The sequence below is a fragment of the Homo sapiens genome, chromosome 1 (genome assembly GCF_000001405.40).
Source record: "Homo sapiens chromosome 1, GRCh38.p14 Primary Assembly".
Classification (NCBI taxonomy): domain Eukaryota; kingdom Metazoa; phylum Chordata; class Mammalia; order Primates; family Hominidae; genus Homo; species Homo sapiens.
In genome coordinates, this window is record NC_000001.11 from 81,445,393 (window position 1) to 81,463,399 (window position 18,007).

Genomic DNA, 18,007 nt, shown 5'->3' on the forward strand with positions numbered 1-18,007 from the left:
GAGTATTCTTGGACATCACAAATCACATAGGCAAATAGAGATCAGTTAAAGTTGCTATTTTTGCAAATGAAGCCAGAAATTATTCGGATGCATTCCTTTGTAGAAGTAGGATGAGGTACAAAATATCCTGTGGTGGTGTTAGATGAGGAAGTGTGGGCTGAAGGGACTTAGAGAGGACGGCCTCATATTTCTGTTTCTCTGAATCATGATCATCATTTGCTTTCCTGGTTATTACTAAGTAATTATACATTCCTAGAAGCTATGAATTCTATATTAAAGCGGACTTACATAGGATCTTTAATTCCACCTATAGCAAAATGATTAAAAGCCTAGCCTTCAGAGCCCACCTAAATTCAAAGTGTGATTCTGTCATTTACCAGCTATGTGGCTGTGGGCTCCACATTCTTATTTGCAAAATGGGAGAAATTGTCATACCTACTTTCAAGAGTTGTGGCATAGCATAAACAAATTAGTAGGTGTAAAATGCTTAAAATATTGCCTGGCACCTAGTAAGCACTAAATTTACTGATTTCACAAAGCTCTATTTTTTGATGTCCTCACTTTACGGATTGTTTCACTAAATCTCTATTTTTCAACCTCCTCACCTTACTTGCTTCAGGTTCTCAATTCTTCCATAGTCCACAAACTTGGAGGCTATAGCAATTATTAAGGGAACCAAACTCTGAGTTCTGTTTTAGCAGCCTCTCTCCTATACTTTCATGTAAATGCCAGGAAAGAAAATAATTGGCATCCCATTGCCCTTTGAATGAGTTCCTGGCTCGCTCTAGGTGGTGTGACGTGTAAAGTGACCTGAAAGTGGGGTGCCTGCCAGCCCGGCGCACAGCACAGCGTAGTTGGAGAATCAATTACAAGGCTTGTCACCATTTCAGAAACATGCAAACATCAATTGGCATAGAGTTTCAGGAAGCAGAATAAAAAGGAACCTACAAAACAAAAAGCCTTTCAGGGGAATGGAGGCACAGTTCTTCCAGATCACAAACGGATGATTATGATCACCATTAGCACTTAATGAGCCTATATAGGGCCAATGACTTCATCCGCCCAGAAGATTTGCCAATAGTCCATGTTGCCACTCACGTTCATCCTTCTCTTCTAAGAAGCATAACCATGGTGTTAAGTCATGGGATTTCCCTCTCCTCCACTAGCAAAAACATATTTCTCAATTCTACCATCCCCTAATTTTCTTTCAGGAGTAAGGTAACAAATTAGAGAAAAGAAAATAACACCCAGGGATGGCTTACACAGTCCCGGAACACCTGGGTTCCATTCAAAATTGGTCATTAACTACTCTCTGACCTAGTTTTCTCATCTTCAAAATGTAATCAGTTACTATCCTATTTACACTTACATAGTAATATATCACTCTTCTATTTCCAAAGGTAATATTAAAGATGAAAATATGTGAAATTGATATTTTGACATAAGTGGAGATATCATTTGTTATATTTAATTTAGGTATTTATTACAAATGTTATAATTTATTGTAGCCATATTTTTCTTTTAATAACTAAAATGTGGAAAATGGCATGTTAAAGTTTAAATGGGCTATCTGCTGAGCTACTTAAAAAACTATTAATTAAAATGAGATATAGGACCTAAACAGAAGTTTGATCTTTTTAGAACTAACCATACTATTATAATTTTTATATTAGTCAACATAAATTTTACTATTAAAATCATTTAAAGGGGCAAACGTTGGCAAAGTAGAAGTGATATTGTGAAGCGCATATATTAATAATAGGTTATTTATTGAAGGAAAAAAGTCATTATAATAGATACCATTCCCAGATGATACTTACGTGAATTTTTTTCTTTTTCCTGACTTAAAGATATAATTCAGTAAACATAGTAGATCTTAAAAGTGTATAATATATTGACAGCAAGGCAAGTAACAGTTACTGTGGAAGGGATAATATTAGATATTAAGAGAGTGCTTTAGGGTAATACTTCAGAAATTCAGGATTGTTTTATGTGAAAATATTTCAGCATGATTTTTCTGGCATCTTTGTGATATAAATAAACTTTATTTGCTCTGATAGTGTAAGAAGCAAAAATGGGTAATGTCTACTACCTATAACCAGCATTTCAGGAAAGTGTCGCTGTTAAAAATACATGGCAGGGATTGCATTTTGGGGCTCTAGTCCCAAATCTGCATGTGAACTTTCTGAGTCATCTTGAGTAATTAGCATCTCTCTAAAATTTTTGATATACAACTTGAAGAAATGGATGAAGGGACCTCAAAGAAAAAGGCTGATTTTTAGAAAAAAACTTCCAAGCAACAAAAATGGTTAGCAGATTTTAACATGCACAAATTCACATTCTGCTATTTATCTTTCCTTACATGTATGCGTATGCCTCTCATATGGTTTGTATCTGTGTCCCCACCCAAATCTCATGTTCAATTGTAATCCCCAATGTTGGAGTGGGCCTAGTGGGAAGTGATCTGATCATGGGGGTAGATCCTCCATGAACGGTTTAGCACCATCTTTTTGGTGCTGTTCTCCTGATAACAGTTCTCAGGAGATCTGGTTGTTTAAAAGTCTGTAGCACCTCCCCTGTCTCTTCCTCCTGCTCCGGCCATGTAAGTTGGCTTGCTTTCCCTTCACATTCTGCCATGATTGTAAGTTTCCTGAGGCCTCCCAAGAAGATCCTGCCATGCTTCCTGTACAGCCTGCGGAACCATGAGCCAATTAAACCTCTTTTCTTTTTCTTTTTCTTTCTTTCTTTTTTTTTTTTTTTTTTTTTTTTTGAGACAGAGTCTCGCTCTGTGGCCCAGGCTGGCATACAGTGGCTTAATCTCGGCACACTGCAATCTCTGCCTCCCAGGTTCAAGCGATTTCTCCTGTCTCAGCCTCCAGAGTAACTGGGATTACAGGTATACGCCACCACACCCAACTAATTTTTGTATTTTTAGTAGAGACGGGGTTTCACCATTTTGGCCAGGCTGATCTTGAACTCCTGACCTCAGGTGATCCACCTACCTCGGCCTCCCAAAGTGCTGTGATTACAGGCATGAGCCACCACACCTGGCCAAACCTCTTTTCTTTATAAATTACCCTGTCTCAGATATTTCTTTATAGCAATGTGAGAATGAAATAATACAGCCTCTACACCCCCTGATCTCATCATTTCAAGAATCATGGCCAGGTGTGGTGGCCTACCCCTATAACCTAGCACTTTGGGCTATCAAAGCAGGAGGATCACTTGACCCCAGGAGTTAGAGACAGGAGTTAGAGACATGCCTGGGCAACATGGAAAAACTCTGTCTCTATTAAAAAAACAAAAACAGACAAACAAAAAAACAATGAAAGGGTTATTTTAAATTGGACCCTCCTCATATTCCACAAAAATTTTTAAATCACAAAAAAAGGCTAAGCTAAGTTTAACTTTTAGTCTTACCCACTAGATATTTGGAGACTATTTTTCTTACCATTTAACTAATTTTACTAGGGGGATGGTCTATATTACACCCAAAACTTTTCCACAACAAAGAAATATAAAAAGAAGATAAAGTGTGACCCCTATACTTTACAGTTTATTTATAGAAGTAAAATTAACATATACAAAAATAGATATTAGTACCAGAAAAAGTATACATATATGTTCATTTCAGTATAATAAATTATGAATTTTATAGGAATTCTGATGGAATAAGTGGCATCAAAGATGTGGTTTGAATAATGAATACTTTGGATACATAGTGCTTTTGGGGGCTAAATAACCAGTGATACTATGGATTTATATTATCCAGGGTCTGTGTAATACTTTGGATACATAGTGCTTTTGGGGGCTAAATAACCAGTGATACTATGGATTTATATTATCCAGGGTCTGTGTAATACTTTGGATACATAGTGCTTTTGGGGGCTAAATAACCAGTGATACTATGGAATTATATTATCCAGGGTCTGTGTAATAGGCTGTTTGATCACTAAAAGTAAGACACAGGGATAATTGAAGGGGTCGGGTAATTCATTATGAAGGCAGGTGAATCCTAAGAAGTCTTTCACTCTTGCACATTCAGTGAAAGTGCCAATAGGCATCCCACCAAAATCCCCGGTGTAGCCAGAGTCTGAAGCTTTCTTCTTATATAGCAACAGTGAGAATTCCAGTATGAGTGGAAAAAATTCATTCACTTCAGAGAGAACTACAATTACAACAGTTGAATTATGGCCTTTATTTGTTTTACTTTATTTATTTATTATTGAGACAGGGTCTCACTCTGTCACCCAGGCTGGAGTGCGGTGGTGCAATCACAGGTCACTGCAGCCTTGACCTTCCAGGGTCATATGATCCTTCCACCTTAGCCTCCCGAGTAGCTGGGACTACAGGCATGTACCACCATTTTTGTATTTTGTGTAGAGACAAGGTTTCACCATGTTGCCCAGGCTGGTCTCAAACTCCTGGGCTCAAGCCATCCTCCCATTTCAGCCTCCCAAGGTGTTGGGATTACAGGCATGAGACACTGTGCTTGGCTCAGTTATGGCTTTTAAGACCCAAATGTTGGTCTTGTGTGCAAAGCTCAATGAGTAACCCCATTTCTCTGAATAGAAAACCAGAGTCTCTGAGGCTTATCAAGCACGAGCATTCCACCACCGATGAGTCAGTTTCCCTAGCTCTCCCTGTTAATCCATCAAGTTGCTTTCTTTTGGTTTCTAACCATGCTCAAAGTGAACCAGTTGAGAAAGCTGGTGCCAGTGACTTTAACAGAGAGAGGGTGGAGAGTATAGATGAGTCCATACCTGGCTCTAAGAATAAACCATTTGCCATCTGAGGAAGAAATGAGATCATTCTCTTATTAATAATCCAAAATTTGACTCAGAAGGAAAACCAAAATTTGACATTGGTCTTGAAACGTTGAGTTTCATTGTGTTGAAAACCCACGAGTATGCCAATGACAATAATCATAATACCATTAGGTACTGAGAGTTTATTGTGTACCTGCCATCCTGTTATATGCTTTAATTTATTATATCTCATTCAATTCTCACAAAGTTCATATTAGAAGAAAGTATTGGCCCCAGTCTAAAGATAAAGAAATAGACAGAGAAATTTACTTTGATGAAATTAACAAGAAGCAAGTGGCAGAGCCAGGATTTGAACCCACATCTCTCTGAGACCGAAGGCTGTGCTCTTTCCATTATGTACACTACCTTTCTCACAGTGCTGCCTCACTGTCTAGTGATGCTTTTGTTATATGCTCAGGTACCAGGAAGATGACTGAGTTGACAGTTTTATTGCATGTATGTACATTAACATCAACCAATACTTATTATTTAGTCCCATGAAGTCAGTGAATGTTTTGCAAGCAGATGGGCTACAGATTCAGAAAAATCAATGAATATTTGAGCAAGCAAGTGAATTATGAAAAGCAAAAGCATTATATGTGCTTTTTCTGGAAAGTAAAGGGAAAGCTATAGTGTTAATAAAACAGACCCCATGCTAATGACTTAGAGTCCCCCCAAAGTAAAAATCAATCTGACTGTAAGTTAGGTTGATTTTGTTCATTCCATAAACTTATTTCTCAATGGAGCTTCTTAATTTTGACATTCAAAATACAGAATCTTGTTCATGGCTCTTTACTTTCAAATTTAAGGCCAGTTTACTTCCTAATCTCTTCTCATTTATTATTCATTTTCATATAAGTCTCACCTTGTTTTCACATACTTCATGTTCTTACACACTCGCTAACAGATAGCCCTCACTGTCTGGAAGATCTTCCATTGATCATACCTTTTTTCTTGTTTCTCAAATCTTTATTGTACTCAGCTTCTAGGATCTGAAGTTCTGATTTTGCTCAAAGCCTTCCCAATTAATTAGATATAAAATACTACCGTCCTTCTATGGAAATCCTCTTTCCTCTAGAGTCAAAGTCATTACCAATGGTGAAATGTATTCATTTTGTATATAGCAGTAATTTCAACAGTTAGATTGCATTTTTCATTGATCTCTTTTTGTCTGGTTATAGTAGAAATGCTATTGTAGAAAATTTGTAAATATCAAAACATATGAAGAAGCAAATGAAAGCCATTGTTTATACCAGAGAAGAGCATTGCTAACATTTTTTTGTATTTCTTTCTAGCCCTTTTCTATTTTCACCACATGTGGTTGTGTTTTAACTTAAACTCTCCCTGCCTTAATACATTTTTATCCTGCTTTCTTTTCTCTAAAATTGGACCATCTAATATTTGGTTTCACTCAGTTCCTTAGATTTATAAGAGCCAAGTAATCAGTAGGAGATTTTGCCATTAAGAGTCCCGGTCAAGCATTGACTCATAGAAGCCTAGAAGCATTCATATTTCTGGGCTTGTTTACAAATATAAATCCTATGCAGTCTTATACACAACTCTTGAATAATTCTTCTCTTTGCTTCCATCATGCGTTAATTTTTTGTTAATTAAAACCACTCTATTTTATCTCATAAAAGTTAGAAAAATATATGAATATTACATTATAAAGACACGGCATTATAAAATAATACACCTGTCTTTCAGATTTCTAAATTAAATTATAAATCTAAAAAACTATTTTGTATCCATATAATGTAGTGTACAACTTCTGTGCGTTCTCTCTTCTCTCCATGGGTTCACATTAGTGTATGGAAGATTGTTTTCTTGTTCAACTTTCCCTTTCAAGGCATCTAGCCCTTGCCTCCCCACCTCCACCCCAGCTTATTTTAACAAGACTGTCGTTTTTTTATCCTGTGAACATACATTGTGTGAAAACCTAACTTTCTCCTTGTGACTTATCTGTCCAATTACAGGATGCAAGTTTTTATCATTTAGCTCATTGGGAAAGACTTTACTCTTAAATAATTACTATGCATCTCATTTCTTCCACCTATTAAAAATAATGTTTGATTATTCCGCCCAGGTTTAGACATTTATCTGGTCTGGATTTGTTTACTAATCAAACTTTTAAAGACACCAATTTTTCCCCACAAAAGCAATTAAAATGTGACTCTCATGGGAGAAACAGCCTTACACGATTTTACTGAACACCTTTATCTCAATGCCCCTGATACAAAGTGTATCCTCAGCATCCAGCCCATGGCTTGTCATCATTAGCTATTTGTAAATGAATAAATAATATCATTCAACATATGAAAACCCATCCCCAAGCAAGCAGGACTACTGACTTGTAAGGGCTAAAAACTTTCATAGCTTCAGTAAGAGGCAAAAATCTTTCATTCTACAAAAATATGTTTCTTTAAATGCCACTTTTGAATCTCCTGCCTGTGAGAATAGCATTTCCTGCACCTTATATATTTTTCACACCACCTAAAAGAGATATCAGAGACTATCCAAGTTGAATCCTAATTCTAGAACTATTGGAAAACCGCTGAGTATATTCATGCATCAGTCGAGTAGGTTTTGCAGATGAAGATATGAAACCTAAAGTATGAGCACCATTGAGAAGGAGCATGAGACCTGAACAGGGAAGAGAGTGTTGAAGTTCCCCAGGCAATGGGAACTCAAGAGGACAATCATGAGGTGTCAGGACAATCAAGACACGGCAATATTTTAAAATGCAGACATTCTACATCAAGGCAGATATTGCCAGCAAGAGGTCTGTGTTTTATTGAAGTCTAAACTAATTCCCCTTGTTTTATGCTCCTGAATGGTTCATTTGCTTTGGGAGCCTCAGGGGTAAAAGGGAAGGGAAACAAATTAAGTAAAACTGCGAAGACTTGTTAAAACTACACAAGGTGTGTCTAGCTCTCTTATTGTTATGTGATACATTGGGGGAAAAAATCTGTGGGAATTCCACTCTGACTAACTGCATAACAACTCACAGCTGATTAAGTCAACCTTTGAAACATGCAATGTAAATACAGAGAAAACCAAACTTAATATGCAATAGCATAAACTAATCATTGTTTCATTTTCTGGAAATTGCGTTGGCACCAGGGTGAGAAGTAGATGAAAAAACGCCGAGAAAAACAAAGACATCTCTCGGTAAATCAGTAAGTTTACAGATTAATGAAGAGCCAGACATTGCTGTTAAGGACTTAATATGCAGTGATTATGAGCCTGACCTTCCATAACAGCAGCCACTTAAGAGTTCTAGTGGTGGGGAGACTCACATATGTACCTAGAGAGAGAAGAAAAGAGAAACATTTATGACTTTTGCACCACCCAACATACACAAAAACACACCCTCTCTTAATCTCTGTCTATAAAACTTTATTTACATAGTTGTAAACTGGGAAATCTCAAGCATAAAACTCTGTCTGTATTAAATATACAATGGTTTAGTGGACTGGTGACTTTAGCAGGCTTGCCGATTTTTGCTTTTCCTGGCAGCAAATGATAAAAAGTCTTAGGGAATCCATATCTCTAAAGCCAAAAAGCAGCTCCCAGTCATTTGTGGCATCATTAGCAATGTTGTGATGTCCCTTAAGGACAAAACACATAAATGTTCTCATGTCACTTACAATTGTGTCAAGGAGAAAACCAAAATGAGCTTGCAAAGACATGCACCAGCTCAGTTTTGGAAGGAAAAAAAATCTTCCTTTGAAGGAAACGAAATCAATCCTCAGTTCAAATTAAATTTGGACTATTCTGTGAAGCTCCAATACACAGCTCCAATAACAATCAGTACTTATGGACTTAAGGTGCCGGCAAATAATGTTTCGTTTAAAAGAAATTGAATGAGGATTACTGACAGAGAAAGTTTTGATGCTATTTTGTCATTAGTTAAAGTTAAACCAGGGCATTATTGGCTCAGTCTTGAACATCTCAATCCTCACTCTTTTTTTTTTTTCTTTTTCTTCTTCCTTTTTTAATGCACTAGAAGCATTTGTCTGATTAGGCTTGTGACTTAATCTTATTAAAACCTTGTCATGCAAATGTAGCGTGAAGATTTCTGTCTCATGCAAAATGTAACTTAAATTCTATTGGCATGAAATACTTTGTTATGCACAAACCTTCTGTTTGGTTTGCTGACATTCTTCTCAGTCTGCTCTCATGGTGATTCATTATCTTGTGATATAGATTTCCAAGTATCATCTTTGTATTGATTTTTATATCTTTAATAACCACTCCACAGAAGATGGCTCCACTGGTGTCATTGATCGCATCAAAAATTCAAGGCTTACAGAAATACTAGAGGGCTAATTGGTAGCAGAACATTTCAGACTTAGCCTTAATGCAGTCTTAATCTTCTGCATTAAACCTACCTGAAGGTTTCCTCTTGGAATCAGCCAGGAAAAATTTAGCACTTCGTTGAAAAACACCTGGTGGGAGCAATGCAAGAACATGGCAGTCAATCGACTACGAACTTGAAAATGTCACATAACATTTAGATATCAAGAGCGATCCTTTCATCATCCGGGCCTCCATAACTGGAATGCTCCTTCCTTTTCTTTTCTATGGCCTCTGGCTCCACCAAGCCAGATTTGCTTAAACGTTTTAGAACAGGCCGTCAAAGATAAGTTCCCATAATTTTAAAGCCTGTGCCGTTCTGTGGTTTGATCAATAGGTGAGATTCCTTTGCAGAAAGTCAGAGTGAACATCCTGTTTGTGGAAATGACAAAACGACAAATTCAAGACCATAGGTGTAAGGCCAGCAAGCCCAAAGATCCGTTAGATGACCAGGTTTCTCATCCTCTAACTTGCTTCCCTCTTGCTCCTCATTCTCAGAGCATACAGACATGGTTTAGGCAACTAGAAACCTAACCAAGAGAGAAGCAAGTACTTTCTGTAATGCTCAAGAGGAACTTGATCATAAAGTTGAAACTTTGACTCGTTTTATTCTTTCCCGGGTTATTTTGTGAACTTACTCTGTCAGTCAGTGTATCAAAGCACAAATTGGTATAACCTGGTACCTTCCCTAGAGTACCTTATTCTCAGAAGCCTGTGGGCAGAACGTGGAAAGGAAACTAGGACGTCTTAGAAAGATAAAGAGGAGGCAGGATGCACAAGGATGTAGGCTTTGGAACTGGCCAGACCTGAATTCTATTCCACCTCCAACATTGTGCTGTGTGGCACTTGGCAGATCACTGCCTCCCTAAAAAAATGTCAACCGTGAAAATTTTCCTTCTCATAAGAATAAAACGTACCAATGCACAGAAATCCCGGTACTGAGCTTGTTATCTGTGCTCCATTGAAAAACACCTAGTGTTTTTCAGCACAGAGGTGTGTTACATATTAGAAGACCATAAAGGAAGAAGCCATGTGTTCTGCTTATTTGTTTTTTATTTTCTCCCTGTAGGAGTTGAAGAAGTCATTTTTGAAAGGTGGAAAAAGGGGAAGTCATACAAGAAAATTTGTATATGTTCTGTTTCTTAGCAGGATTCGAAACAAAGAACTACACATATATGCTGTTCAGCATTATTGTAGATACAGCATCAAGCGCTCAGAGGAATTTGAAACGTGAAAGACATTGGAGTTAGAGTGGTGATTTTAGAAAGACTGGAAATAGGAAAGGATGAATCAAGGATGAGGTCATAGTGAAATATTATAAACGATGTGGTGAATTTTTGATATTTAGATTCTTGAATCTTGAGTGAATCCTTGATCACCAGATATTGGATGAATTCTTAAATCACCAGAAATTATAGTTGTAAGTTTCAAACTTTCTGATTTTAAAAACTTATTTTTAAAATAAGTTTAATAACCTCATAAAAGCCTAATACATTTGGAAGGGTCTTAGTAATTAATTTTAAGTATCAATGCACTCTTACAATTTATTGCTGAGATTGTCTTCAAAGTGTTACATAACAACACAAGTGTGGGTCTCAGTTTACTTAGGATATGATATTTAAGGAAATGGCAAATGCTTGTATTATACACTTGTTTTTCTTTCTTCCTTTCTCTTTTTTTAAGAGATGGGGTCTCTGTTGCTCAGGCTGGAGTGCAGTGACATTATCATAGCTCATTGTAGCCCCAACCTCCTGGGCTCAAGTGATGCTCCATCTCAGCCTTCTGAGTAGCTGGGACTATAAGTGTGTGCCACCATATCCAGCTAATTTTTTTAATTTTTATTATTATTATTATTTTTTGTAGAGACAGGGTCTCGCTTTGTTGCCCAGGCTAGTATCAAAGCCCTGGCCTCAAGCTGTCCTCCTGCCTTGGCCTCCCAAAGTGCTAGGGTTACAGGCATAAGCCGTCACTCCTGATCCCACTTTTTATTCAAGTCATTATTTATGTTGTATAATTATGTGTATCATAGAACTTAGTCATGTATTTGGCCCCATAAATCCCCATCTGCTTGTGAAATTTTCATTTATACTTTCATCACATCCTCCTTTCCTAAACAAGCTACAGTTTTCAGCCTATGAGAGGAAAACATTTTCAGGCAGTTTTATTACAGGTGGTTTGACCATCATTGTGTAACTGCCTTTTGAACTGCCCTCCCACAAAATAGTTCTTGATTTTGCTGCAGTTTATATAAGAACTTGTTATCCCACCTGTCTGCTCCTCCTTTTGTCTTCTGTTTTCCTCCTCTTTGCTCTCTTCCTCTCTTTTTCTTTTCTAACTTCATTCCTTCCTAAGCTTCTACTTTATTTTCATGATTCTTCTCCCTTCCTCTCTTCTTCTCTTCCTTGTCATGTTGTTACCTGAACTGAAGCCCAATGCACAGAGTTGTAAGTTTAATTCAAATTTTATTTATCCTTAAGATATTTACATAATACCTGAAGGCATCCCCCAATATGGTGCTAAATTCATTTTCCATCCTTTACAAGAAAGATGTAAAATATGAAAGGAAACAAAAATTCTGCCTAATTCAGTGAAGATAGTTTTCCAAGTGCTGACAAATTTCTTTTTTTCCTAAACCTTTCCCTTTCTTTCCCCTACAATATAACAAAAAGGTCTCTTGACCACAGAAACCTTTGCTCAGTAGTAAGTTAATATGGTACATGAACATTTTCTGTTTCCTATTTTTAAAAACTTCAATATACTACAAAAAGAAAATGTGGACCTCCACTCTTAATGAACTAGGAAAATTAATTTATTTATTAATTTATTTTTTGAATGCTGGGAAAATTTAGACACTCGATACTAATCAGCTTATTGTTTCTGAAAATTTTTCTTTTCTTTTTTAGTAGTGTTATCTATTCTTTACCATTCTCAGAGAATTAAGTTTTTGCTTATTAAAGCAATACTATTAAACAGTATTTGATTATTGACTAATAACCAAAGAATTGAAATATAGTAAAATGTCACTAGCAAAAAAACTTTTTTTCTTTTACTTTTTGTTAAATTCCTCTTTAATAGTTGTTAAAACTACAAAAGTGGGAATTGACAAGATTTCCAGCCAAATGAATTTTTTTTAAATTTTGGATTTGTATATAAAATGATCCAGAAGTGAAATATGAAAGTTATGATATTTTCAGGATTTCTTCTTCTGGTCATCTCCATACCTTTTACACTCTCCAAATGGAGGCCTCACATCATTTCATAATAGGAGCCATAGCAGGAGCTTTAGAATCATTATTGATGTCATTCTGGAGAGCAAATTACATGTGTGCTTCAATTTGCCACTATGGAATTTACATAACCTCAGATTTTGAATTGAATGACCAGTGGACAAAATTGGCATCCTAACTTCCAATCAGATATTAACTGCCATGTTTTCAGCTACTATGATGCTTTCACTTGTATTGAATTCTCACAAAGGCTCAATATGAAAAATATTATCATTTTTGTTTTACAGATGCTAAAATTGAGAATCAGGGAAATTAAGCAATGTTGCCCAAATTGACAAACTCAGTAGTTATACCACATAGACTGTTCTGTTTGGCAAATAGACCTGAAAAATAGCAATTTGCCAATGGTTGGTAAATATTGTTTGTGATGTTTTGTTTATTGTGGTAAGAATACTTACCATGAGATCTACCCTCTTAACAGATTTTCAAGTGTACAATAACATGTTGTTACCTATAGGCATAATGTTGTGTGGCATAGCTTTAGAATTTATTCATCTTGCATCACTGAAACTCTATATGTTGATGAGCAACTGTTGTGGCTTTTGAAGTTTGGTGAGTGAGAGGGAATGGCGCCCGGCACGTTCTTTTCTGCTGCAGCCAGAGGAAGGGTTAGTGTTACAGGGTTCCTATGGTGCCACTTTCCCAGTGGGAAATCTCTGCAGCCACATGACCTCTGCCCAGGGCCTCACTCAGTCCTCTGGACTCACACCATCCGCTTCAGCCCAGCAGGCTACACTCAGCTTGCACTACTGGCCCAGATCCCGTGCCTGCCATGGCTCCATCCTCAGCCCATGGCTGAACAGGGCATGCCACAAAGTGGCTTCCATGTTGGGCACCAGTGTTTAGATGAGGTGGATGTGGTGGCGCCTGAAAACTAGGAGATGCCAGAAACCAGGAGTCCCAAGGAGTGTTACAGCTTTTGCTCGGGGAGTCCTGAGGTCTGAGCCCCCAGGAAATGTTACAGCTCTCTCTCATTCCTCCTGACTGCAGCTCAGTGAACAGGGACGTGTTACAGTTCATTCGTTCCCACTGCCCACAGCTCAGCAAGTTCCGGATTCTTGTCCCGCCACCAGAAGGAATAAGGTATACGGACACTGGAGAGTGAGTGGGGCAGAGAATAATTTTATCGAGTGACAGAAGGAAAGCTCTCAGTGGAGAGGGGATCTGAGAGTGGGTAACCCTCTGTGTGAGAGGGGACCCAAAAGCAGATAGCCATCTGTGTGGCTGAGTCCAGGGTTTTTAAGGGCTCAGAATATGGGAGTGTGTGCTGATTGGTCTATGGGTGGTCTTGGAAAAAGCACCACTCAATTGGTTTAAAGGCAACAAGGAAGTTCTCACTCTGGTTGTGGACTCTATCCAGAACTGGCAGCTCAGTCTTCAGGCTTTGAACTGTCATTGGCTTGAAGGTCAGGTTTCACCAGGGACCCATCCCTGTCTGCCTAGGAATCTGTCTGTCTCCTGTTGCTATTACAACTCTCCAATTCCTCCTTCCTCCAAACCCTGCCAACCACCATTCTACCCTGCATCTGTGAGTTTTACTATACCTCAAGTAGAATCAAGTAGGATCATGAAGTATTTGTCCTTCTGTAATTGGCTTATTTCACATAACATAATGTTCTCAAGGTTCATCCATGTCACATATTGCAGAGTTTCCTTCTTTATTTATTTAAGGTGCAATAATATTTCATTGTATGTGCATACCACATTTTCTTTATCCATTCATCTGCCTATGGGCATTCAGATTGTTTCCACACCTTGGTTATTGTAAATAATGTGGCAACAAACATGAGAGTCTTAATAATCTCTTTAAGATTCTGATTTTATTTCCTTTACATACATACATGTGTATATATATATACACACACACACATATACACACACATACACACACATATATACACACACATATATATATCCTGCTTAGTGTGTGTATGTGTGTGTGTATATATATATATGTATGTGTTTGTATATATATATATATATATACACACACACACATACACACACTAAGTAGCAGGATTGCTGGATCATGTGGTGGCTCTATTTTTAATTTGGAGTGTTTTAAAGACCCTCCGTACTGTTTTCTATAGCAGCTGCACAATTTTGCATTCCTACCAGCAGTTTGCAAGGGTTTCAATTTCTCCAGAGCCTCACCAACACTTTGTCTTTTGTTATTTTTGTAATAAGCAGCCTAAGAGGTGCAAGGTGATATCTCATTGTGGTTTTGATTTGTATTTCCCTGCTGATTAGTGATGTTGAATATCTTCATATACCTGTTGCCCATTTGTATTTCTTAGGTTGCTTTTTCACTCTGTTGATTATTTTCTTTCCCATGCAGATGCTTTTTAGTTTGATGTCCTCCCATTTGCCTATTTTTATTTTTGTCATGTAAATTTTTATATTAATGATTTATATTAATTATATAACACTATATATATAGTGTTTGAAGTGATTGGGTTGATATCTCCAGAATATTATTTTGTGTCTATTATATATCATACCACATAACTAAAGTAGATATTTGTTTCATTTTATTTTTAAAAAAAGAAAAAATTTACAACAGCTGCTTTACCTCAGCCAACTTAAGAAAAACTTATGAATTGATTCATTTTTCAAAGTTAAAAAAATTGCATAATTTTACCTTAAAGGGATGGTTATCCCTAAAACCTGTCTTTGACAGGTTATATTATAATCTCTTAAAACTTTCTTTAAAATTTCTGATTCCCTAGGCCTGAGTTCAGACATAAAGTATCAGAATCTCGGGCAGCATGGCTTGCAGAATTTGTGTATATTTACTGTTTCCCCATTGACTGGATGTGCTCCTTGGAGTTTGAAGAGCCACCCCTTTTACTTTATTAACAAAGAATAAAATGGTCAGAAACAAGACTAGAAATTTCGATCTCCTGGGTCCTACCAAATTGCCTCTGAATACTGTTCCTAACTAGGCAAAAGGCATGGAAGGACACAGACTATAGGAAACATTGCAGTGGACTGTCTTCCTTGCAAAATTGCTGGAGTTTTCCCTCTTTCAGGATCATCTATCTTGCATGTCTCTGTCAAGTGTACATTTTATATTTGTTTAAAGGAAACAGCAGTACTTATGCAGATGTATGACGGCATATGGTCAGGATTTAGATGAGTGAATACTTGCACCTGGAAATCAAATATTAGTACAGGCAGACCCCTCTGCTTGCCCAGGGCAGCATCCACTGAACAGGGTAAGGGAAAGAGCTGCCAGATCAAACATAATCCAGATGTCTTTTCCATCTCTTCCTCTTCCCCATACAACCTTCCATTGTTTTCTCTGTCCTTTGGCGATATTTCTAAGTTTTTAAAGGAGAAATGAAGCCCAGAAAATAGAACTAAATGTTTTTAAAGCAGAACAATCATACTACCCACTGAGCAGTAAAAGCTTTCTTTTTTTCTTTTCTTTTCTTTTTTTTTTCCTTTGGTTTTGGCCTTTTAAGAGGTTTTATTTTCATTATCTTTTTCAAGAACATATCAGATGTTTGTAGTAATCCTTGGTCAAGGATTTAGAAGAGTGTCCTTTTTAGCTTAATTTTCCTATTGACTAGGCAATTTTTGAGAAAGTGCTATCTCAGATATCATAGAGTGTCAGTAATGCCCAGTTACCTTCAATGATTCTAACTTTTACATAGTGTTAACTGTCCATTTATTGCATTTTAATCTCAAACTGAGCTTGTTGCTTGGGGTAGGTAGTTCACTAGCAAAGGATCTTGTTTTATCTTTTCGAAACACTTTTCCCCCCTTAGGCATGTCATGCAAGCTCTTTGTACTTTAATATCTATACATACTTCAGAGAGATAAAAAGAGGATACAATGTTGTAAATATGTTGATACTTTCTGATCACTCTGAAGCAGTAATTCATCATTCAAAATCTCCTATATAAAGATAGCTCTGTAAAACAGGCCAAAAAGCAGAGTGGGGTGTGGGAAGGCAGGGAAAACTGTCCAGGAATAAAGGCATGAAATGAAACAAATTTAAAACCTGCCAGTAGGCAAGAATTCTTCTAAACAGAAAAGAATGGCTGATAGTCTTCCAAAGAAGGAAGAAAAGAAGAAAGGGGGGGGGGGGTGGTGGAGAAAGAGAGAGACAAAGGAAGGGAAAGAGGGAGAGAGTGACATGTGAAGCCAGCTGGGCTTCTGGGTCGGGTGGGGACTTGGAGAACTTTTCTGTCTAGCTAGAGGATTGTAAATACAACAATCAGTGCTCTGTGTCCAGCTAGAGGATTGTAAACACACCAATCAGCATTCTGTAAAAATGGACCAATCAGCACTCTGTAAAATGGACCAATCACACTCTGTAAGATGGACCAATCACCACTCTGTAAAATGGACCAATCAGCACTCTGTAAAATGAACCAATCAGCAGGACATGGGCCGTGCCAAATAAGAGAATAAGAGCTGGCCACCCCAGCATGCAGCAGCAACCTGCTCTGCTGCCCTTCTATGTTGTGGAAGGTTAGTTCTTTTGCTGTTTATCATAAATCTTGCTGCTACTCAGTCTTTGGGTCTGTGCCACATTTAAGAGCTGTAACACTCACCGTGAGGGTCTGTGGCTTCATTCTTGAAGTCAGCGAGACCAAGAACCCACCAGAAGGAACAAATTCTGGACACATCAGGGAGGGAGGGAGGGAGACAAGCAGACTTGATAAGAAATGGCAGATTCTGGTGATTAATTTTTTTCCTACATGACCTACAAACAATGCGTGTGATGTAAAGTTACCAGGTAGTGTGGTCCGATTTTTACTCAGTTATTGTTACTTGGCCCTTGTTCTCATTAACATCTTGCTCCTCAGATTTTCCAAGTATTTTATTAAGTGTTTGATATATGACTTTTTAAGACTTTTTGATCATTCAAGACCTAAGAAAGCTATCCATATTCTTTAAATTGGGTCATTATATTTATTTTGTAGAAAATCATTTATCAGAAAAAGGGTAAAAAAATTAGGACAGAAAAATAAGTTGGCTAGGCAGTGGCTCATGCCTATAATCCCAGCACTTTGGGAGGCCGAGGCGGGTGGATTGCTTGAGCCCAGGAGTTTGAGACCACCCTGGGCAACTTGGCAAAACCCAATTTCTACAAAAAATACAAAAATTAGCCCTGAGGGGTGGTGCACACCTGTAGTCTCAGGTACTCAGAAGGCTGAGGCAGGAAGATTGCCTGAGCCTAGGAGGTTGAGGTTGCAGTGAGCTGTGATTGCACCACTGCATTCCGGCCTGGGCAATAGAGTGAGACCATGTCTCAAAAAAAAAAAAAAAAAAAAGAAAAAGAAAAGAAAAAACAAGTTGTGTAAACTTTGTAGGAAGTACAAATGGTCATGGTCTTCAAATGTGTATGTAGCAGGGGAGAGTTGGTGTCAGACAGATGTGGGTTGGATTCCTTCCTCCTTTGCTAGATGCACCTGTGGTCTTTCTGAGACTCAAATTCTTCCTCAGTGAAATAGACATAAATTTTTTGACATTTAAACCAAGCAGAAGAGTGTAGACCCTCTTCTAGACTGAATGTTTGGTACTCAGTCAGCTCTTGGT

At 37.6% G+C, this 18,007-nt stretch overlaps 1 protein-coding gene across 8 annotated transcripts in view, besides 1 other annotated feature; it reads left to right on the plus strand.

Annotated features, from left to right (window-relative positions):
• The window catches only part of ADGRL2 (adhesion G protein-coupled receptor L2), a 687,801-nt gene that overhangs the window by 139,261 nt on the left and 530,533 nt on the right, over window positions 1-18,007 (plus strand). The gene's annotated exons all lie outside the window — the stretch shown is intronic.
• Window positions 12,799-13,299: an enhancer, noted in NCBI's record as "H3K27ac hESC enhancer chr1:81923876-81924376 (GRCh37/hg19 assembly coordinates)". NCBI's record gives its function as "activates a minimal SCP1, AML or CMV promoter by ChIP-STARR-seq in primed H9 embryonic stem cells {active_cell/tissue: H9 hESC(primed)}" and the evidence as "EXISTENCE:reporter gene assay evidence [ECO:0000049][PMID:30033119]".